This window comes from Homo sapiens, chromosome 21, assembly GCF_000001405.40.
Source record: "Homo sapiens chromosome 21, GRCh38.p14 Primary Assembly".
Lineage (NCBI taxonomy): Eukaryota > Metazoa > Chordata > Mammalia > Primates > Hominidae > Homo > Homo sapiens.
This window is the reverse complement of record NC_000021.9, coordinates 14,575,079-14,598,787: the sequence shown is the minus strand read 5'-3', so window position 1 is coordinate 14,598,787 and position 23,709 is coordinate 14,575,079. Positions and strand designations below refer to the sequence as shown.

At 35.5% G+C, this 23,709-nt stretch overlaps 1 protein-coding gene and 1 long non-coding RNA gene across 7 annotated transcripts in view, besides 1 other annotated feature; one reads left to right on the top strand and one right to left on the bottom strand.

The window, feature by feature from the left end:
• SAMSN1 (SAM domain, SH3 domain and nuclear localization signals 1) overlaps window positions 1-23,709 on the top strand; it is a 174,190-nt gene that overhangs the window by 60,630 nt on the left and 89,851 nt on the right. For 2 of the 6 annotated variants that reach the window (NM_001395858.1, NM_001395857.1), the window contains 3 exons: window positions 4,710-4,775; window positions 15,012-15,138; window positions 16,300-16,652. In NM_001395858.1, the coding sequence (NP_001382787.1) occupies window positions 4,710-4,775; window positions 15,012-15,138; window positions 16,300-16,652 (546 nt within the window). Of the gene's footprint in view, window positions 1-4,709; window positions 4,776-6,148; window positions 7,804-15,011; window positions 15,139-15,385; window positions 15,469-16,299; window positions 16,827-23,709 lie in introns of those variants that run through there. The other 4 variants (NM_001256579.3, NM_001395856.1, XM_047440941.1 and 1 more) reach the window with 3 other exon arrangements.
• SAMSN1-AS1 (SAMSN1 antisense RNA 1) lies at window positions 485-16,586 on the bottom strand. The gene is made up of 5 exons (NR_046512.2): window positions 16,497-16,586; window positions 13,250-13,426; window positions 7,320-7,466; window positions 4,048-4,094; window positions 485-863 (listed from the first exon to the last, which is right to left on the bottom strand). It is a non-coding gene; the product is annotated as an SAMSN1 antisense RNA 1 (long non-coding RNA).
• Window positions 20,306-20,600: an enhancer, noted in NCBI's record as "tiled region #5316; HepG2 Activating non-DNase unmatched - State 24:Quies, and K562 Activating DNase matched - State 9:DNaseU". NCBI's record gives its function as "activates a minimal TATA promoter and a strong SV40 promoter by Sharpr-MPRA in HepG2 and K562 cells {active_cell/tissue: HepG2 | K562}" and the evidence as "EXISTENCE:reporter gene assay evidence [ECO:0000049][PMID:27701403]".

Sequence of the window (23,709 nt, the reverse complement as noted above, 5' to 3'; positions counted from 1 at the left end):
GCTTACGAAATATATTTCAGACACTAAAAATGATCAGAATTAAATATTTAATTCCCAACCAGAACGTACTTAAGCAAACATGTTTCCTTCATGTTCTCAAAATGGAAGAGAAGATCTCAGGCATGGAAGAAGTTACACAGAATCAGGTAGCAGGGCAAAAGAAGGAGTTCATGGAATGCTTTCTCCAGTACCCACTTTGCCCCACGTATATTTCTGCATAGTTAGCCCGGGATAAACTTCCTGGAGAACCAGGCTTGTGGAAGAAGTGCTGATGGGTAGAGCTTGAAGCAAAGCAGTCTGCTTAGAAATGTGATCATACACCAACTATAAAGAACATCTTGGGAAAACTTGACTCCCAGCATTTATTTTTGCATTCTTGTTCTTGTTTGTTCTTCTCTGGCAGCATTCAGCTGATGGCTCAAACCTTTTGTAGCATATTAAAAGGGGAATAAAATATGCAGTAATACAGACTTTGGGCTAATATATTTTCAAAAGTGTTGCATGCCTCATTTCTCACTTAAATTCTGAGGTTGCATTCAGCCTTCAGAGTATCATTCATATTCATGATAGAAAAGAGAGATAATATTTATTACCTTCAGTGCTGGTGATATTAAGCACTGTCAAGCACCCCTACCCAGGACTGAACCAAAACATTTTCTTTCTCAGCTCCTTTGCTGAGAAAAAGTGTTGCTAATTGAATTAATTAACCCATTTCAATCAATTTCTTTCTTCGTGTCTTTCACTATGGAGATTGCAATTTTCAGCATTTGAATTCTCAGCCTCCCCAGTAGTTAGGGGTGGCCATGGAATCCAGTTGTGGCCAATGAAATATAGTCAGAAATTCCAGAGGAGGACTTTCTTTTCTGGAAAATAAAAAAAATAAGGCAGAGTCTCATGAGGATAAAGCTTTGTTTTTTGCTCTCTTTCCTGCCTGGAGCTGGATGTAATACCTGGTAAGTCAGCAGCTGTCTTCCAGCCGTGAGGCAAAGGCACACATGAAGGATGGTGGAACAGGCACATGCATAGAGCCTGATTCACTGAGGACATCCTTGAGAAGCGGCACCCGGGTTGGAAACCCTATGTCTGCACTTCTATTTTACAGAAACATAAGCCCCATACTTGTTTAAGCCACCACTGTTGGTTATTCTCTTCCTCAAAGCCGAATACATTTCTGATACCTTATTTTTAAAACAATCACTTTTGCTAATGCTAAACTCTGCTCTATGTAAGCAATCAGACAAAACTGTGTCCACAGTTAAACAGTGTCTAGACTCACCTCTTATTGCACAAACTAAACTAGCCTCCTTCAGTTCTCATGTAGTGTAACCAGCATTTAGAGTTAGTCATTTAGTCCTTAAGATGAAAATTGGATTACTAACAAATAAAATATTGGCCATACACATCCCATTGGCTATGTACAGAATTAAAACTGTATCCAACATAGCACACAATTTTTGGGAGATGCGTGTAGAATGGACAAAATGGGACCAATTTTTCATGAGCTTAACTGAGGTCACAACGCTGGGTCACTGGAGAAATAATTTAAGGTTATGCTGTGATATATTAACAAGCAGGAGAGACAGGTCTTTCACTAGGTTTTATCAGACAGATTTGAGGGAGTTCTAAACAAAAGTGTGAACAATCTAAAAGGGGGAAAACAAACAAACAAAAAGAGTCCAAAATGACAGTGTCAACCAAATGATAGTCTTTATGTATGACATGATTATATTATGACAAAATAATGATATTGTGTATTGATCAATGTTTCTTATTTCAAGTACTTTCTTATCCATTATATGACTTTTAACTATTGTATTACAAATCTATTGACGCATAACAAATTACTTTAAAATTTAGGGGCTTAAAACAAACAAAAAAAATTATTTCACAGTCCCTGTGGGTCAGGAGTTGGGGAGTGGTATAGCTGGGCATTTCTAGCTTAGAGTCTCTCATGTGGTTATAATCTCAGGTGGTTAGTGTCGCTCAAGGTGTTATCTGAAGGCTTGACTGGGGCTGAAAGGTTTGTTTCTAACTCCCTCTCATGGCTATAGGTAGGTGACCTCAGTTTTTTTATGGGAATTGACTGCAGGGATAGGTCCCTTGCCACTTTGGTCTATCCATGAGGCTGAGTGTCTTCGCAGAATGTCATCTGGTTTCCCCAGAGTGAGTATCTAAGACACAGAACAAGAAGAGGCCACAATTCCTTTTAAGATCTAATTTCAGAAGTTAAACATCATCACTTCCATTTTATTCTATTTGTTAGAAGCAACTCACTAAATCCAGCTCACACTAAGGGTGAGGGGCAGTCTTAGGTTCCACCTTCTGAAGACCTCTTCAGTGTAAAAGAATTTGTGAGTGTATTTTAAAACCACTAGAACTACCTAATAGTATTTTGAGGTTATAGACAGAGAAGTTTTCTACTTCCAAAGAGCAGGATTATAACTTATTTTGCAGGTAGAAAGAATATAGGGCTATATTTCGTTATCTTGAAAAAAAATCTAATCTCCTCTTTAATAGTAGAAGACTTTCAAGAGTGGCTTTTGTTGGTATTAAAGAAACAGGTTATTAAAATGGAATGCAAATCTCTTGTTTCCGGTGAAATAAAATTAAGATCATATTGGATTCTCTCATTTCCTTATCCGAAGTTATACTGCATTAATGATGTGTACTTTCACGTTTAAAGAAGAGAGTTTAAGCAACTCTACATTTAGCTTTTATTTAAAAAAGAGGAAATACTTGATTCTAACAAATAATTTTTATGAATGAACTCCATAAATGTATGGGTGTTTTACTTTTTGATTTCCCTAAAAGATTGAGAGGACTTATTTGGTATTCCTTAGCATCATTCTCATGCATTTTTAAAAAGGAATTTCGCAGCCCAGAAAATGGCTAGTAAATGCACTCTTATATACTGTGTCAAAAATAAAATCCAACCACTTAGTACTTGTTGCAGTCACTTCAGCTACTTTGTCAGTTTTCTGCTTCAAACCTCTTGCTCTTTGGCTATATTTTGTGTGCTAGAACTCCAGAATTCTGCTGGGGTTTAGACTTTATGGAAACCAAACTTGCCTTACATTTATATGAGTAAAAACACTGGACTTTAAACTTGTTGCTTAAACTCTCTGTGCTTCAATTTCCTTATGTGTAAAATAGTGACAATAAAACTTCTTGCGATTGTCATAAATATTTAAATAAAGGAGCATACTCCCTCAAGATGTTTAATGAATATTCATATTTCCCTGTCTCTAAATTCCTCTTAATCTCATTGCAGACTCTCCTCAGAATAAAATTTGAAATCACCTTTGTCTTAGTTCTTTCAGGCAGCTATAGCAAAGTACCTTAGGCTGGGTAATTTGTAAAAACAGAAACATATTTCCCACAGCTCTAGAGGCTGAGAAGTCCAAGACAAGGCACCAGCAGATTCAGTGTCTGCTTCAAAAAGGGAGCAAGGCAGCTCCCCTCAACCACTTTTATAAGGGCTCTAATTCCATTCATGAGGGCCCTCATGACTTAGTTACTTCCGCAAAAGCCCCACCTCTTAATACAATCTGATATAATTTGTGTAAGTGTTCCTGCCCAAATCTCCTGTTGAACTGTGGTTCCTGGTGTTGTAGGTGGGGCCTGGTAGGAGGTGATTAGATCATGGGATTGGATTTCTCATGAATGGTTTAGCATTAACCCATTGGAGCTGTTCTCATGACAGTAAGTGAGTTCTCATGAGATCTGGTTGTTTACAAGTGTGTAGCCCCTCCGCCTTCATTCTTTTGCTCTTGCTCCTGAAATGTAAGAAAACCTGCTCCCCCTTTGCCTTCCACCATGACTGGAGGCTTCCTGAGGCCTCCCCTACAGCAGAAGCCACTATGTTTCTTGTACAGCCTGTAGAACTGTGTGCAAATTGCACTTCTTTTCTTTGTAAATTACCCAGTCTTAGGTATTTCTTCACAGCAATGTGAAAATGGACTAATACACTATCATATTGTGTATTACATTCCAACATATTAATTTGGGGGCAACACAAATATTCAGACCACAGCACCATTTTATTACCTGTTATAGACTCCATCAAATGCCCTTTGCTGCAGTCCTGAAGTGCCCTAGGTAGAAATTGTTTGATATCAGGTACATAAAGTTTTCAAAAGGAGTAGAAGCTGACAGTTAGAAGGTTACACTGACAGGTACCAAATGTAATAAAAGACATCCCACACTATGACTTGAGATATTAATCCAAATGTGTATTTGGCTTGAGTTTAAACTCAATTAGAGTATCTAAAATGGATGTCCATTGTGTACCTAATAATGTAGAGCACTAAGGGATTAGAGTGGGCTGCTTCATAAAACATTCGGGATCCCCCCTTTCCACCAACCCTTCTAAATGTGAGATCATGGATTGGAATTGCTCTATGTGAGGGCTGAGGAGTGAATCTAATACACATAGACACATACACATATCACACACACATATATGGATATATAATGTGTATATACTATGTATACATACACATATTCCATATTTGTCTATATATGTGTATATATGCAGATGAAGTCACTGATGAAACATTAATCAGTGTACTTTGATAACAAGATAATTATTTCTAATTAAGACAGCGAATCCTTTCCCAATTAGTTTGGTAGCTTTGTGGAGTTTTTTTGTTTTGTTTTTTAAAGAATGTTAACATTAGTTGTCTCTATTTCCTTTTCTAATTTCTAAGGTGACCTCTGAATGTTGGAGTCCATTTCACTATCAAAGACATGTTGAGACCACTGTTGATGAACTGGTGAGACATTTCTTCCCAGATGTAACTATTTAAGTGGATTTCCCATCTCTTTTCCACTCATTTTAATGCCACAAGCACTGTTTTCTATAGTTCTTTATTACTTCTGTTTTCAGCTGCCACATGGAAGTGTTTCTAAAGAACATAAATAGAGGCTTGTCCTTACTGAGTGGTTTTCTGAACTAAAAGGAACATAAAGCATTTCCTTCAAAGAAGGAAAGGTTGTTATATAAAAAATTTTCCCTAAAATTTAGCAATTTTTCCTGAGATAGGAAAAAATTTATAATGTTAAAAAGCATGTCGTCTGATTTTGGGGGAAATAGGTGTTATCCCATGTTTCTGGGAGAAGTGTACATCATTATAGCATTGCTAAAAAAGAGAACTTGGAAACAGCATGAGTATGCCATAAAAGGAAATCAAGTAATTAATTGGATTATAGTCCATAGAATGAAATATAGTAAAACCATTTTTTAAAAAGTATCTCTGTGTGCCAGCTCTCCCTTATGATATTAAAATCACATCAACTGCCTTCCTTTCCTTGTTGAGATATTGCTAAACAGAAGTTCATGGAAAGGACATGTTTTAGAAGGTCAGGCAAATTTCCAGGATATTCACATACATCAACAAGTATTATAGCATTATTGATATGAAACAACTATAAGTCCTATTTGTAGTTCTTGTTCTAGATGGCTTCAGAACACTACAAGCTAATGTTTGCAACTTATTTGACCATTGCTTCCCAAAATGTAACTGTAATTTTGTGAGAAATAACTACTCTTAGTAAATCATGTTTCTTTATGTAGGTATGAATACAAAAGTTTTGATATCTTTATTTATAGCTCTCTCTTCCCCAATATTATTAACATGTTATTAACATCTAAGTTTTTATAATAGTTTTCTTTTCAACTATATGTATTTTTTTGTCTAAGAGATGTCTAAGTTGTGCTAGGTAGGAGGAAGAGGTGATGGAAAGTTATGATTTAAATATTACTTCTGTTCCCTAAAAGAAAATTATTGAGATCTGCCCTTGCTATTTCTCATGCTATCTGAGTTTTTAATGACTAGTTAAATATCAAAAAGCTGTGGGAAACAAACAAATGAACCTCAGTAAATACTAACAGGACTTTCAGATGAAAATAAAGCTATACATTTGGGAGGATTATGAAATTCCTTAATTAGAAACAGAAGCAAGAGAACTAGATTGCAGGACTTGGCTCTACCACGGACTGTGCTCTTAGGCCACTTAATTCGTATTTCTGCATTTCCGTTTCCACATTTTTGAAGTAAAATGTTGGAGTAGAGAATATTTCTTTAGACTCTGATAATCTGTGATTAACAGTAGGTCATTCTCACTTTTTCCTTGATATTTTTCTAAGGCTCAAGAATTTATGTAAAGTAACAAAAGAAGATACTTATGTAGTCAAATGTCCCCAAGGATATTTGAGGAACAATGAATTCCTGTGATCCAATCCTTCAATTTAAAGATGAAGGGCTGAAGTGCAGAGAGGAGAAGTGGCTCACTCAAGTTCACATGGCCAGTCACAAAGCAGATTTTCAAAGCAGAACAATCATTAGTCGGCACACAAGGGCAGGTTCTTACTCTAGGTTTTCTTAACATTTCTTGTGTATATGAAATAAATATTAGATAAAAATGTTTTTTTACTGTGTAATTTTCCATTCATAGCTCCTCTTCTTGCTAAGAATCCAATAGATACTTAATAAAAATTAATTAATTTGCATACTGGCTCTTAAATTTCCTATTGTTCATAATTTTTGGTCAGCTAGGAGGTGTACCCAGAAACAGAAATGTTCTTATGAGTAGTTCTAGAAACTTCTTCAAAATTTCAGAGCAGAGGATATTACGCAGGAAGTAAGAAAGATGTGGCTTCTGTGGCCTTTTCTCTTAAATCAACACAACCCCCATTTGCAATGCTGGTTTGTGTAATCCTGGCAACTCCCAGCTAGCTTGGCAGTGTGTCCACATTCAAAGACTGACCCAAAGCTATAGGTCAGTGAGCAAAAAGCAGTCTTGGCTTCCCCTGCAGAAGTGGAGAAATGGCAGTGACATTGCGACTTCATTATACTATGGAAAATTGGGCCTGTGTGGCTTCTGAAAGACTCCTTTCTTTTTTTACTGTGTTCTCAGAGGGCATGTTATTCCAAAACCAGAATTATGCACATCAAAATCTGCTTGAGAGGAAGGAGGAGCTAGAATATCATGTTAGGACTTGAAAGGGTTTTAGTGTTTTTACAGTGGAATAAGACTATTACATAAATGGCTTTGTTAGATAACCTAAATTATACTGCTTAGCTTCTTAAATACCTGCTAATCCTCTAGCCAAGCACATTTCTTCTCCCTACTCTCACCTTATGCAATCTTTCTCCTGTGAATAATCATTGAATTTTATTTGTAGTTCTCATATGACACATCTACTTTTTCCTCCAGATGTATTTTTGGCCTGCTGTTGAGATTGAATGTATTTATTGACCATACTGACTCTAGGAAGTGATATGTGTAAAACAGTACTAGAACCCCAAAGAAATCACCTTGCAGTGAGGGGGACAGGAACAGAAACAGATGACTATTTTTCTTAGTATTCATATTAAGCAATGTGCATCACAGGCAGACACAATATTTCATTCTTCTTTGCACCTCCCGTAGATTAGGTCCTCAGTAATAAATTAGGTCCTCATCTGATAAATGAATAAATAAATGTCTTATAAGCCTTCCAGGAGAATATATTTGATTTTATTAACTAATTCATTCAATTACTCATTTATTTGATGACTTAAAATTTTGCCTAGCTTTATTGTGTTTTTCCAATCTTAGTTTAAGTTCAGTTTCTATCACTGAAAAATAATAATTTTTAAAATTATAATGATATACGAATATCTAATGTCAACATGGCAATTTTCCCACCAACTGTAATTATTTCTTCAATCAATATTTCATTTGCATAAATTATCTTAAATTGTCTTTTTAATTAATTGTATTTCCAAGAAAGCAATAAAATAAACCTCTGAAGTGAAATGTATTTGTTTTCATGTGTTTGCATTGATCAATTCTAGTTCATAATCCCATTGGTTTTATTACTGTCCATTGAGTTTCTAAATGTTTATTGATCATTGTGACCTTAAAAATTATCTTTTTAGAATATGTTTTAGGTCATGAATAGAGACTAGTCACTTTTATATAGGAGGAAATGAAGATATAGATTTAGGGGTTTAATAATTCAACATTTAAAACCTCTTCTTTATTTTGTTTTACCATGAAAGTAGCTCTCTTCTTCCTGTCTCTAAGCACCTTCCCATTCAAGTGGCTAAGAACAAATTACCAGTAGAAAAAATTGAATACTTCTGTCCTTAGCAAGGATAGATTGGATTATTGAAATCTGCCTTCTAAATACATTTTGTAGTTGTTTATAGAATTTCTTCCCACATGTGATGGCTCACGCCTGTAATTCCAGCACTTTGGGAGGCTGAAGCAGGAGGATTGGTTAAAGCCAGGAGTTCAAGACAAGCCTGGGCAACATAGTGAGACTTCATCTCTACAAAAAATAAAATAAAATAAATTACCGGGCATGATGGTGCGTGCCTGTAGTCCCAGGGCTTTGGGAGGCTAAGATGGGAGGACCTCCTGAGCTCAGGAGTTCAAAGCTACAGTAAGTTCTTATCATGCAAATGCACGCCAGCCTCCAGCTTGGTGGACAGAGCAAGACCAAGACCCTGTGTCTTAAAAGAAAAAAAAATTCTCCCAATTATGCTAATTACAAAACTAACACATCTTCACTGTAGAAAACTAAGAAGAGTAGAATATATAAAGATAGAAAAAGGCCACATATAATGGTGTTTGTACTTTTTATACAAATTTACATTCTGGTTTTTCACTTAATACATGGGAGCATTAAAAAATTTCTAAGCCCTATGCATACACTGGCACAGTTTTAATAATGAAACAACGAGTCATAAGACCGGAAAACTTAGAGAAAACTGTCAATGTGATACATATGAAACTACTTGAAGTTTCGGTTTCCATTACAGTTTTCTTTAAAAATAAACCAAAATATTAATTTTTGAAAAACTCCATTTCTCCTGTTGAAGAAATTATGTGAGATAGACATCAGGTTATTAGGATTTGTTATTTGAATATTTGTTAAATATGACACTAGAGAGGAAAATTTTTCCAAATCAGAAATTAAGAAGAAGAGCAAAAACAAAGGGTTTTCTGCTTTGTTTTGTTTTGTTTTTTACTTCATTCAAGTCTGACGTGTTATTCAGCTATCTTTTCATTAGTGGAGTAAAGAGAACATAATTCAGACAGATAACGCAATCTGGATTTTGTTAGTCTCCATAAGCCTAAATTTTCCTTCTTTAAAAGGAAGTGATAAAATCAAGAGAGATTTAAAAGCTTTAAATGCCTTTCCAGCAAATATATGTAGGTATATACATACGTACACACACATATATTTATATATTTCCTTCTTAATTATGTATATTTAAGAGGATAGGCCTATAAATCTGAAAGTACCTGATACTTATCCTCTGTTTTGGAAAGCCATATTTAACCTCCAAATAAATTCCCTGAATTTGGTTGGTCTTAATTTGGCTGTCAATACTAGATAACTAGTAATTATGCTGGCATTTAAAGATCTTGTAAGAAAGAACATTGGATTAAAAGTCAGAATACTTGATTTCCATCCCAACTCTATTATTAATAAATTATCTTTCCTTGAGTAAGCCACTTAACTTCTCTGAGTTTTCTCATTTTTTATATAGCCTGGTAGACTAGATGTCTAATAATTTCCATCCTAGCTCATAAAATATGATCGTAGGACTAATCCAGTTCAATAATTCATTGATGCTATCTTCTAAAAAGTATTCTCTAATATTAATATTCAAGCAAAGTGTCTGAAAATGAGATATATTTAACCAAGCACTTCTAACAAAATTTTTGTATTACTTAAGGAAGAGTGAGCAAAATGAACTAAAAGATATTTCTGTTTATAGACACAAATATATGAAATACATAGTATATACATGTTAAATATATACATATGAAAAATTACATTTACATTAACATATAATTACCATTTTGATGGAAATTTATATCTTTCAAAGAAGACTCTAAATTACAAAGACAAAAGTGAAAAGAAAACCAATTAGAGACTTGACAGTAGTTTCAATGAAAGAAAATTAAACTAGATTGGTAACAATAGAGATGGAGAAAAAGAAACATTCAAGATACATTTTGGAGATAGAATAGACGAAACTCTTAGTTATGGACATTCAAGATACATTTTGAAGATAGAATAGATGAAACTCTTAGTTATGGAATGTGCACTTGGGTGGATGAAGATGGCCTTCACTGAGTTGAAGAAGATGGGATGAGCATCATATTTGGAGCATAGTTCTAGAGGTCAGTTCTGACTGTGCTTAGTGGGCAAAGGACATGAACAGATACTTCTCAAAAGAAGACATTTATGCAGCCAAAAAACACATGAAAAAATGCTCATCATCACTGGCCATCAGAGAAATGCAAATCAAAACCACAATGAGATACCATCTCACACCAGTTAGAATGGCGATCATTAAAAAGTCAGGAAACAACAGGTGCTGGAGAGGATGTGGAGAAATAGGAACACTTTTACACTGTTGGTGGGACTGTAAACTAGTTCAACCATTGTGGAAGTCAGTGTGCCGATTCCTCAGGGATCTAGAACTAGAAATACCATTTGACCCAGCCATCCCATTACTGGGTATATACCCAAAGGACTATAAATCATGCTGCTATAAAGACACATGCACACGTATGTTTATTGCGGCATTATTCACAATAGCAAAGACTTGGAACCAACCCAAATGTCCAACAATGATAGACTGGATTAAGAAAATATGGCACATATACACCATGGAATACTATGCAGCCATAAAAAATGATGAGTTCATGTCCTTTGTAGGGACATGGATGAAATTGGAAATCATCATTCTCAGTAAACTATCGCAAGAACAAAAAACCAAACACCGCATATTCTCACTCATAGGTGGGAATTGAACAATGAGATCACATGGACACAGGAAGGGGAATATCACACTCTGGGGACTGTTGCGGGGTGGGGGGAGGGGGGAGGGATAGCATTGGGAGATATACCTAATGCAGCGCACCAGCATGGCACATGTATACATATGTAACTAACCTGCACAATGTGCACATGTACCCTAAAACTTAAAGTGTAATAAAAAAAATTTAAAAAATAAATAAATAAATAAATAAGGTGATGGATAAAACAACAAAAAAATTGTTTTAAATACATAGTTGGATATGTGAGTCTGAAGCTCTGCAGAGAGGCCTGGGGAAAGAAATAAATTGGGAGTCATTAGCATATAAGTGATATTAAAAGTGGTATGTGTGCATGCATGCACATGAGAAGAGAATGGTGGTGATATCAGATAAAAGGCCAGGGTTAATCCTTAAGTAATTTCAAAATTTAATTTCAAGAAAAGGAAGGTGTCAGCATATAGGAGTTATAGAGGGAAGGGCCAAAAAAGGCAAAAGGAAAATCAGAGGAACATGGTGTCACAGAAGCCAAGAAAAGAGAGTGTTTCCAGAAGGTCACTGTGGTCAACATTGCTGAATATCAAATAGTAAAGGAGTTTAAGAATGGCTCATTAGATCAAAATGACAATTAAAAGGGAATGGTAGAGATGAAAGCTGATAGATGAGATAGATTAAAAGGATGAGAAGTTAATAGAATTAAAGGAAGCATACATAGTTCACATTTTTGATACAAATGCCTAGGATCAAAGAAGAATAGAAAAAGTGGTAAATAAAAGATGGTGAAGTAAAGATGAATAACATGAAGCACATTTGAATGCTATTGGGAAGAGTCCATTGAAATGGAAAATCAAAATTCAGTAGAGAGAGAAGAACAAAACTGTAAACCAAGTTGTATCACCCTCTGATTAGATATTCCATATTCTTCAACCTGCTCTACAGAAGCTTCCTGGAAGGATCTCTGTTATTCTCTGGGCTCATCTCTTGGTACTCTTCCTTTCTTTCCCTTCATGGGCACATACTAAGCATTCTTCCAGAAATTCCAGCTTTAGAACCTTTGCAAACTGTATTGTGTTCCAAGACTTCTCTTCTCTCTGCTACTTGCCTGGCTGACTTTTTCTCCAATGCAAGTCTCAGGTGAAATATTCTTTCTGACCATCTGCTGAATTCTAAACCCTCTCTAAATCTTCACATATCTGGTTCCTTCTCATCATTCAGGCCTCAGCTTTAGTATCTTCAGTGAAGCTCCTCCTGATCAGTATATTAATAAACCCTCTTTTTGCATCCTCACTAATCACCCTGTTAATTATTAATACAGCATTTCTTATGTCACATTCTTATGTTTATATACTTGTTTATATGTTTATCGCCTGTCACCTCCCTCTAGAATTAGACTTGATAAAAACTGTGATCTCATATTACTTCCTCTATGCCATATCCCCAGAATGTGAGATAGTGCTTGGCATTTACTAGGTGCTCAAATAAAAGTTTATTGATTTGTTGAATGCTAGGTTTAATTTATGGGTTAATCTTCTTAGAACACATTTAAAATTTAAAAGGTATGTTACTATAAAACTTAATCAATCACATTCAGTACAAATATGTAGGTAATGGATAAGAGAATTGAGATAAATAGGGTTATTATTTGAAAAATATTTGAGGATTTTTCTTTTTTTTTCTTTTTCTTTTTTTTTTTTTTTTGAGATGGAGTCTCGTTCTGTCACCCAGGCTGGAGTTCAGTGGTGCGATCTCGGCTCACTGCAATCTCTGCCTCCCGGGTTCAAGCAATTCTCCTGCCTCAGCCTCCCAAGTAGCTGGGATCACAGGTGCATGCCACCACACCCAGCTGATTTTTGTATTTTTAGTAGAAACAGGGTTTCACCATGTTGGCCAGGATGGTCTCCATCTCCTGACCTCATGATCCGCCCACCTCAGCCTCCCAAAGTGCTGGGATTACAGGCATGAGCTGCTGCACCTGGCTGTATTTTTAATCTGAATACATTTTCTTTTTAATACATAGTTGTAATGATTCTATACCTTTTATAATAATATTAACTCTAAATTTCATCCCTTGGATATATAGTACCTATTAACAAGAGGAGGTTGTCCAGAAATAATTTGCTACTAGAAAGTAATGAGTCTAGTATCAAACATGTACTATGGATACTCCATTTTGTATATAAAACATGTATAAAATTAGGATTGTATTTACATTCAGTACATATTTATTAAGCCATGTACAATCCTAGGCACATAGGATTTTTAAAAATAAATAAAATGCAGTAGACTGATGTCCAGTAACTCAAAGTGAATAAAGATACAAAAATTAACAATATCATGCTTTAAAAAGGCTACAATAGAATGTGAACAAAATAATGAAAGGTCAGTTTGTTTTAAAACCTCTAGGACATGAGATCTTACTTACCTGAATTCAGATACCTTCCAAATGCTTTAGTTCCTCTTGGGGGAAAATCATTTATACAAAGTTCCATTTCCCTGGTATATAATACCTTTCTCCACATTAAGTGAAAGCCTTTTTCACAAAGGGAGAAGAGAAGACGATTTTTGTTGCCAGTGTTTCAGTGGAGCAATTAAGCTTTGGCTGTAACAAGAAGTTGCCATAAGAATAGAAGCACAACAAAGAAAAAATGGTTGTGCAATGTCATCTTATTATTTCTGAAAGGGTCTAAAGAGTAGAAAATGGCCTTTCCTGAGTTGTAAAGGGTCTATAAAATCAAGTAACTCAGAAAGCACTAAAAGAAACACTGAGAAATAATACAAAAAAATAAACAGCAATAGAAATTGTGTTGAGCAGAGCATGGCCTTTGGAAAGAGAGGGAAGATTTTGTGCTTCTAAGCATATCTCATCACAGTCCTTTCTGAAAGATTAAAATGATTTCAATATTTTCCCACTTATTTAATGCAAAAAGGTAGGGTTCCTCTGACAAAAACGTCACATTTCCTACGTAAGTGCTATTTTGCAGAGACAGATCAACAAGTTTATACTGGTTGTGCAAAGTCATTCTTAAAGAACAAAGATAACAGCTGAGTATAAAGATTGGAAATGTTGCATGTCAGATATCCTTTACTTCCAAACATTTATTTGGGCTTATAGTCTCCTTAAAAGGATTGGAAAGCATTATTATAAATATGTCTCATTCAAACATTAATGAGGAAGCAAATATTCACCTCTTGAAAACTGCAGTGTCTTTGTAGATGCTATTTATCAGCTGTTCAATGGAAAGAATGAGACAAAAGCAGGTGGAGAAATATTTCTGAGTCTAGAACTTTCTGGATGAAAAAGTATTCCTATATGTATTACATCACATCTAGTGAATTCAACAGAACACAATGATTTTTATCAATTCCTATAAAACTTAGCACACAAAGAGTTAATTTCCAAAGTATTTTGAAATCCTTAAGAGGAACTATACTTAAGATAATAAGTAAAAGCTGTATAAATACAAATTCAACAGTAAACTAGTGGGAAACATTCCTGAATCTTTTAAAGAAAACAAGAGTCATTAATGCAATGTTAATTATATTTTGTCCATATTTTGTCATAATAAACAAGTGACACATATTCTAAAACATGATGTGGTATGCTGTGGCTATCTTTTGTTTCACTTAGTGCATATCTTCTAGAAAGCAAGAGGCTATTTTTTTAAAAGTATGTTATTTGAAAAATTTTCATACTTGAAACAAATGTTGTTTGTCCACAAATTTCCAAAAAGAAAATGAAGACTATTTAAATTCTGCTTTATCTAATATTAGCAGGTAGACTTTGTATACTATCAGTCTATTCCAATACTAGCAAATAGCAACTTTGAACCTCTTGTTCCATCTATATTACACTGCAAAGATCTTGTTTTTTTCCGCTGTTTCACAGTGGGCAGGAGTGAGTCATTTATAGATATTTCTGAATTCAATCCATTTTGCTGTATTTTGAAGTAAAAAAAAAAAATGGTAAAACCACTCTGCTTTAGTATGCCTGGCCAGTTGTAACATATTTTATAATTTTGAACCCAAAAAGTATGGTGTGCTTTCAAGTTAGTGCTTAAATTGACTCAGGCTTCAGGTTTTAAGGTCACATTATTAATTTTTCCACATTTATGATCTCAACATATTTTATATTTAATCTTTTGTGAGGAATAATTTGTCTTTACCTTGAGCTGTGTTTGTGCTAGGCCATAAAATCAGGCAGTGACCCTGTGGAATCAATGGGGACATTAAAGCGACTACAGAAACTGGTTTGGACTAAGAAAGCCAGAGTGCAGAATCTGGATGAGGTGAAACCGACATTAATAAACCTCCGTAAGTAAGAACTCAATAAGCTGTTAAAACTCCTTTGAGGGAGAACTAAGGAAGCATACGTTAATGAAGCCCATTTTGATAAAGTCTTAAGATAATCATTAAACATTGAGGATTTTTTTTTATTGCCAAGTTATTTTAAAACAGACATCCCCATCTGTTCCTGAATTTTACCCCGTATTTATGCACCGCCCCGTTTCTCCTTGCCTTCAAGACCGGGCTCCGAGACACAGTGAGAGAGAGCAATGGAGGAAGCTCAGCAGTGTCCACTGTCGCCATTCCTTGGCCATAGAAAACAATGTATTTGAATTTTGATGTAAGCATAACAAATTGGTATGTCCATGGCATGCAACTTTGATTTTCATTTATTTATTTATAATAGCATGCCTTAAGTAATCGAACTCTTTTAAAAATACCCATTAAACGTTTGGATTTAAAGGGATTCCATGACATAGAGCAATTGACTCTGGGTGATATATATTTCTATTTTCTGTAACTGTTTTCTACATTACTAGAAATTTCATCAGAGTCTTTGCCACATTGTGTAAATATAGATCTCACAAATGAACTTTATGGTATTACAGATATGGCTTTTTTAAATTTTTGTCGTTCTTGTTTTTTGAAAACCATTTCACTGTGAGACACACTGCATCCATACATCTCTTGGTAGATTGATATTAAAATAGACAATTTCAGAATGTCAGTAGGATTTCAGTCCAAACCACTGAGATTTTATTCTTTTAAGTAGGGCAAATAATTTTATTTATTTCCTTATAATTCTTTATTATACACATGACCTTAAAAATTAAAAAAATATTTAAGAATAGAAACATAAGAGGTGGGTTTTTTAATTGTATTTTTTTCTCAAATATCTTTCAGCATATTATTTGTATGTGGCCTCCATTCTTTCCAGTGAGATAGAATTTAATCAATTGTTATGGTTTCAAAAATGTCAGAAAAATGCGACTTTTACAAAACAAAAAATTTTATATAGCAAAATAACTTGCTTTTTAAATAAATGCTGCTGTAAATAATTTTATAAAATTGAATGACTTCTTGGTTTATCCATTGCAGTGTATTTATTTCTCTTATATAAATGGAAGAATAATTCCTATATGTGAAGAATTATAATCATAGTTTTTAACCTATTTCTTTGTCATTCAGAAGATGAAGATGACACGTTGATTTCTTGTTTGAAATTAACCAAGTCCCGAGAAAAGAAAGTGAATAGTGTTAGCACGAGGAGGAAGGAAGAAATGGAGATTAGATTGGATACTCTTTCTGCATCACTGGGTAGATCCAGCACTTTAAATAACTGCAACTTGGAAGATAAATTAGCTTGGTATGAAGGTGAAGCTTACATGTGGCATCACTGGAAGCCTTTTCCTGAAAACCCTCTCTGGACATGTCTTGATTTCCAAATAGCACAAGTTGGACCCTGGGACCACTGCTCCTCTTGTATTCGCCACACACGTCTCAAGTCTTCCTGCTCAGATATGGATCTCCTACATTCATGGGTAAGTTTGCAGACTACGGAAATGTGTCATCTTATCTGGGGTTTTGTACTGTCGGGAAAGAAACAGATAGCAAAAGTGCTAATCAGTGAAATTTATCAGTTTCAGAAAAGTTACCAGAGCAAGAGTTGTCTTTCCAAAAAGCAACCAAACTCTTGTGACTTTTACCCATATTAACATTTCATATATTCCTTTGTGTACAAATTAATGACTGCATAAAATTTTTCCAGGGATTTCTTTTTGATTGAAGGAAGACTTCGTGTGTTGACTGAGATCAAGAAAATGTGAAGTGAACTGTCTAAATTATTGCAATTATAATGAAATTTCACTGAAAAATAATAGCTAATTTTAATGAGCATTTTATTTGGGCCTGCCATTTTCCTAAGCATTTTATATGTATTATCTCATTTAAATCTCACATCAACTCTATAAGGTAAGGACTTACATTATGAAATATTACCTTAAGAAATATTATTTTTGGCCAGGCACGGTGGCTCATGCCTGTAATCCCAGCACTTTTGGGAGGCCGAGGCGGGAGGATCATGAGGTCAGGAGATCGAGACCATCCTGGCTAACAAGGTGAAACCCCGTCTCTACTAAAAATACAAAAAAATTAGCCGGGCGTGGTGGCGGGCACCTGTAGTTCCAGCTACTCGGGAGGCTGAGGCGGAAGAATGGCGTGAACCCAGGAGGTGGAGCTTGCAGTGAGCCGAGATCGCGCCACTGCCCTCCAGCCTGGGCGACTGAGCAAGACTCGTCCTCAAAAAAAAAAAAAAAAAAAAAAAAAAAAAAAAGAAATATTATTTCCCCTCATTTTACAGTTGAGAAAATGGAGGCACAAAAAGTTGGTAACAGGTGCAAAGTCAGACAGCTAACAGGAGGTAGAGCCAAGACCTATAACCTAGGTCTTGCTTTTAGCTAGAGCTCCTGCTTTTAGCTACTACATTAGAGTGTTTTCCATATACGAGGGCAGACTCTAAGGCTATTATGTGATACGTGAGAAAGAGTATGCTCTCTGGAGTCAAACAAATTTGGATGGATTCTGGCTGTGCTACTTTTTTTTTGGGCTTGGATAAGTTATTTAAACCTTTTAATCTTAACTTTCTTAACTAAAAAATGGAAATAGTCAAGAAGCTAAAGTCAAATATTATAAATCTTCTAGTACTTAAGAGTGGTACTTTTTTTTCAATTTCCTTGTAAATTGCTCAAGGCATGTTTTATAACTTTACCTACAGCTCCTCTGGTCATGTGTGTTTTCAGTGAATGAATGGGACAATTCTGTGTATCCAGGGAGCCTACTCTCTACCATTTTCCTCAAAGAATCAGTCTCTTCTTAGACAGAAGCTACATTTTATAACATATTTAGAGGTCTCTTAAAAGGCATATTTTCTCTTGGAACTTTTTTTGCCTTTTAAGATTTGTGCATTAAGTCTGCAAAGACTAGAATTAAAGTAACTTGTGTTCAAAGTGCCATAGTAAATATAACAGGTATCTGATAACAGACTTCGAACTGATGAAACTGACCAACATTAATCATTTCTAAATATCCTCCTTCTTCTTTAATCTTCATCTTCTTTTCTGGGACTGCTGCACTTTGCAGGTTTTCTCTTAGAGTAGCTTCTTGGAGAGTAGCTGGTAATATAATTAGGACGTGCTTCTGATGACTCCCTCTGATATCTTCAGAAGCAGGATCAAGGCTGATGACTCCTTGGCAAGTGGCTAAGCTGTTGTATAGGCATCTGAACACAAATAGTCAGAGTTTTCTTCAAGAATAAAATCTGGACTCCCTAACTTGGCATTTCTGGATTTCATCAGTCTGGACTCAATCTAATTTTTCAGTCTTATCTGTGCACTACCCCCACCTTATTGATTTCCTATGCCGAACTGCCAAACTGAATGATTTGCTATTCCTAAAGGCTGTCTCACACTTTCTTCCCTCTATCTTTGTGACAGTGTGATGGCCTCTGCCTGATATGTGAATTCTCTCTGTTAGAACCCATCCCATCATCCCTTAGACTCAGATCAAATACTTCATCATCTAGAAAGCTTTTCTGAGTAACACCAGGCAGAAGTAGTCCCTCCTTCCTTTGAACTTCTACATTATTTGAGGGCATTATTCTTTCATTCCATATCCATGAAACACATCCTGCCAACCTACTATTTGCTATTCACAATATCAGGCACTGGAGATACAGAGCTAAATGATATCTACACTGCCCTCATCTTCATGGAACTTAACCATACTCCACTTGTGCTGGAATTAGTTCAGTATTTGTATACTTCCTATGAATAACTTATCTTTGTATCCTCCATAGTTCCTATAATGTAATGGGTCCTCAATAAATATCTGAAGAAGTGGCCAGGTGTGGTGGCTCACACCATTAATCCCAGCACTTTGGGAGGCCAAGGTGGGAGGATCACTTGATCCCAGGATTTCAAGACCAACCTGGGAAACAAAGTGAGACCCTGCCTCCAAAAAAAAAAAAAAAAAAAAAAAGTGAGCATTTTCTAACATGAAGTGCAGAACAGAAATAAATAAATAAATATTTGAGTAGCACTTGTTGCCTAAATAAATGGAGGTTAGAAACCAATGGACTTTGTTTCCATAGATCCAGATAAAGCATATTTCTTCTTGTTTTTCTAGCTGTTCTTATAGCCAAAGCTTTCCTCATTCTAATAAATCCAGTTATAGATAAATTATTTTGTACATGTGAGTGTTTGTGGATGTGTGTAGGTGTAGGGAAATACACAACAGTCATATTTTTCTTTTTTATTTAGGTAGTTTTGTCTATTTTAATATATAACTTAACGATTAAGTGAGTTTTATCTGCAGAAGGTCAAACATATCTACAGAATGCTCAGAATTTCAGATGATATTGTTCAGCATTCGTGACAGAAAAGCCTCAGTGGACTTGGAGAGAGGGTTCAAGAGCATGTTAGAGTTAAATTGGTTTGGTAAACTTAATGAGACCACTTACACTCCGGGATTTGAGACACTAAAGTGAAAGAAGTTGGATGAGTGCAAATTATTATTTTTGTATTCTACACATATATTCTATAACAACAACAAGTGAAAAATATCCAGTTTCATTTTAGCATAGCTGGTATTTTTTTCAATAGTAATTGCAGGGTTATTATTTAGGTTATTTAACTTTCATATTATAGAATGTAAAGGAGGCAGTGTTGGGGTTTGAAAAGATGTGCTTCTGTAATGAATGTTACTTACTATTAATGGCAGGTAGTCAGAGGCGACATTTTTGCAATTTAAAAGGGTAAGAGTGTGATTATATTTTTAAAAATATACGTGCCAAGATATGCAGATATGATGGAGCTGGGCCTAAACCCCACATTTCATGGGAAATGAATCTAATCTACAAGGACACTAGTTTCTCCTTGACTTCAAAAATTTTAGGAATAGTACAATCTTGGGGTCTTTTTTTTTTTTTTTTTTTTTTTTTGATGGATTCTCACCCTGTCGCCCAGGCTGGAGTGTAATGGCATGATCTTGGCTCACTGCAACTTCTGCCTCTTGGGTTCAAATGATTCTCCTGCCTCAGCCTCCCTAGTAGCTGGGATTACAGGTGCCCGCCACCATGCCCGGCTTATTTTTGTATTTTTAGTAGAGATGGGGTTTCACCATGTTGGCCAGGCTGGTCTTGAACTCCTGACCTTGTGATCTGCTTGGTGTCTTTGATTCTATTATTACATCAGAGTTTTTAGGTGGCCTGAAATTAACTCATCTTTGAGGAAGTCCTTGTTCACCCAGATATGCTTCCTGCTAAGCCCACTGTAGCCTCCCACTCTCAAGGTGGGTGCTGATGGATTTAATGCAGCTCCGACATTGCCGGCAGAGTGTGCTTGAGTAAACTCCTTACCCTCTTTCACCCACTAATTCCAACTCTGTAAGGTGGTTTCAGTCCTACTCACTCTCTTTCCTCTGAGTAACTCTTTGCATACCAAAAACACCCAGTAGTTAAGCAAGGTTATTAATATCTATTAGAAAAATTTAGTGAAATAGTGTTGGGATTCATCTATAGTAAGTAATATTTATTGCAAAAATCAAAGCACCCAGAGGTCTGTAAGATTGGAACATTTTATTCCGTTGAGATACTATAAACAAACGGAATCAGACAGGGAAATGTATTATTTGTCAAGGGCTCTTCACAGAAGTCAACAGAAAATGAGATACAGAGATGTTTAACATGAAGTTAAGTTGTTTGTAGTGTCTGTGGGATCAGGGAGTGAAGAAATATTTGTGATTATGGAATTGATATAAATTGAGAAAGGTAAAAGATCAGATTTATGAAAGGGTATACTCCACAAGAGAAATGGGAAAGGAAAAACCAAGGATGATGATCTTTTCTAACATCTGAGATGAGTGGTGTTGAGAGGGGATTTCAGCTGCATCTTAAGAAAGGGAATAGTCGAGGTGACCAAAAATAATCTTTGAAGCCAAGTGTTTCAAATCAATTTATAAGAAGAATAACTGAAGAGTACTTACGAAGCTCTGTAAGCTAAGAGCATGGCACATCTTAACAAAAGGAGGAAAATGAGCCATAGGCTTGGTAGGGAATGAGGGTAAGAAAGGATAGAGTTTGTGGGCTGTGAAGGAGACAAAGTCTTCCTTTCATATGTTTTTATAATAACACATATATTTTTCAAAATCTGGGAGACTTTTTCAGATTTATAAGGATAAACAAATTATTTTTATAAGATTAAGAAATGGGGCCAGGTGTGGTGGCTTACACCTGTAATCTCAGCACTTTGGGAGGCTGAGGCAGGCGGATCATGAGGTCAGGAGATCGAGACCATCCTGGCTAACACAGTAAAACCCTGTCTCTTCTAAAAAAAAAATATATATATATATATATATATATATATATATATATATATATATATACACACATATATATAAATTAGCCCACCATGGTGACATGCACCTGTAATCCCAGCTACTCGAGAGGCTGAGGCAGGAGAATCACTTGAACCCGGGAGGTGGAGGTTGCAATGAGCCGAGATTGCACGACTGCACTCCAGCCTGAGAGACAGAGTGAGATTCCGTCTCAAAAAAAAAAAAAAAAAAAAAAAAAGAAACGGATGCAATCTAGACATAAACAAGGAGCAAATATCCATTCCTCCTCTCAAATTTCTAAAATATTTTCAAACCCATTTTATATAGTGTGAAAATGTTTAAAAAGTGACAGTAACAAAAGATCTTTCAGGAAGAGGCAAAGTCAAAGACCCAAAAGAACAGAACAGAGACCTGCTTACAGAAGAATTCAAACAGTATAGTGAGAAAAATTGTAATAGTGAGAGACAGAATCATATAACAAAAATCAAAGAAAAATGAGTGTAGTTGATATACAGCATCTGAAGGTGAGAACATAAACAAAGCTGTACTTAAAGGTATCTAAGGCAAGTATGAGACTTTTTTTGGAATCTTGTATGAACTCATCACAATGGTGACAAATCGTGTGGATGATGGAAAAATTCTTTACGCAACTGTTTCAGTTGGAGGAACAGGTGGTCTGCTAATGTTCACCAATAAATAGAGTAACAAAAGGTTTTACAATTCTTTCAGTTCAAACGTGCAGCAGTGGATGCTAATTATTGGCATGGGAAAGTGCTCTTAGGATACACAGCTTCACTGTTGAGTTGTATAAAAGTTTTAATATGTCTCAAGAAAACCAGAGGTCTCTGGGAGACAGACGAGGTAACTGGAGACAGACAGCTTAACCGGGATAAGCTGTCTGTGCCTGTCCTCCATTTTGTCTCTCTATTCTCTCCCTTGGCAGTCTCCCTCGGTCTCTCTGACCCTGGTCTTCCCCCTTCAATCAACATGACACACCATTATCAGATTAATCTAACAGATTAATTTTCTTGACTATTCTAACTGATAAATGCTACCCTGATTAATGATCCTGAAGCTCAAATCTAATAATGTCCCTGCTCCCCTCACAAACCTTTAAACGCCTCCCCCACAACCTACAGGGTCAAATCTAAACTCATTCACCTAATCTTCCTTCTAACCAGATGCACACAGGTCTTTTTTACACACTCTTTACTGCAGACAAAGTGAGTATCATCCTTTCATCAAGCACAATGATATTTTTTTCCATCTTCACATCTTCATACTATTTCCTCATTTTGGCCTTTCTTTTCTTCTCTACCTATTTGATAAACAGTAGTGAAGTTTAAAAGTGTAGGTGAATGAGTAAGAATCCATGATGTAGACTTTGAAAAATAGACATATGCAAAGAAAGAATTAAGGCTAGAGAGGACCAGTAAAAAGACAGTGAGTAAGGAGGCACATGGTTTAGGAAAAAGGAAAAACAATTCACGGATTCCATTCTCATTTTCTTTGTGCTTTAGTGATGTCAGGCTCCTGCCAAAAAACCTCTGTGTTCCCATTTGTGGTGAGTAGTATTATTTTTGGACCTGGTAAATAATAAGACATACTAAGAAGAAAGCTCACACACTCACCCGGAAGAAGGTAGACTATGAACTATCAATGCATAATTCCTCATAATTTAACATCCTTGTGTTTCATCTCCAACGTCAAAAATCAGTTGTTGGAACAGCTTTAAATTTACTTTTTTGCAGTGGAATTATTGTGGGATGGAAAGGTAAAAAGTTTCAGCAAATGTGTTTGGACCACTTATGGAAAAGAAAGCATCATAAATGGTAATCTGGACTGAGAATTTTGAAAAGATAAATAGGAAAATGTGATGCAAAAATGCCAAAACATATCTATACTCACTACAGTCTGTGCTAAAATTAATATACTTGACAATAAAGATTCTAAAAATAATTTTATAAACTTAAGGTGAGCAAGAAAATAATCATTAATTATGACAATTTTACATGATGAAATTTTAATTATGACCAATTTAATATTTGATGCTAGGAGAATCAGCATTTACCCAAGAGAAGAATTTGAAAATTAGGAGATTCTGCATGGCTTATTCATTCATTTATCCATTCATTCACTCATTTAGCAAAGTCACGTAAGGTGCCTCCTAAGCCATCCAGTCTATGAACTTGAGAGCTTAGAAGTATG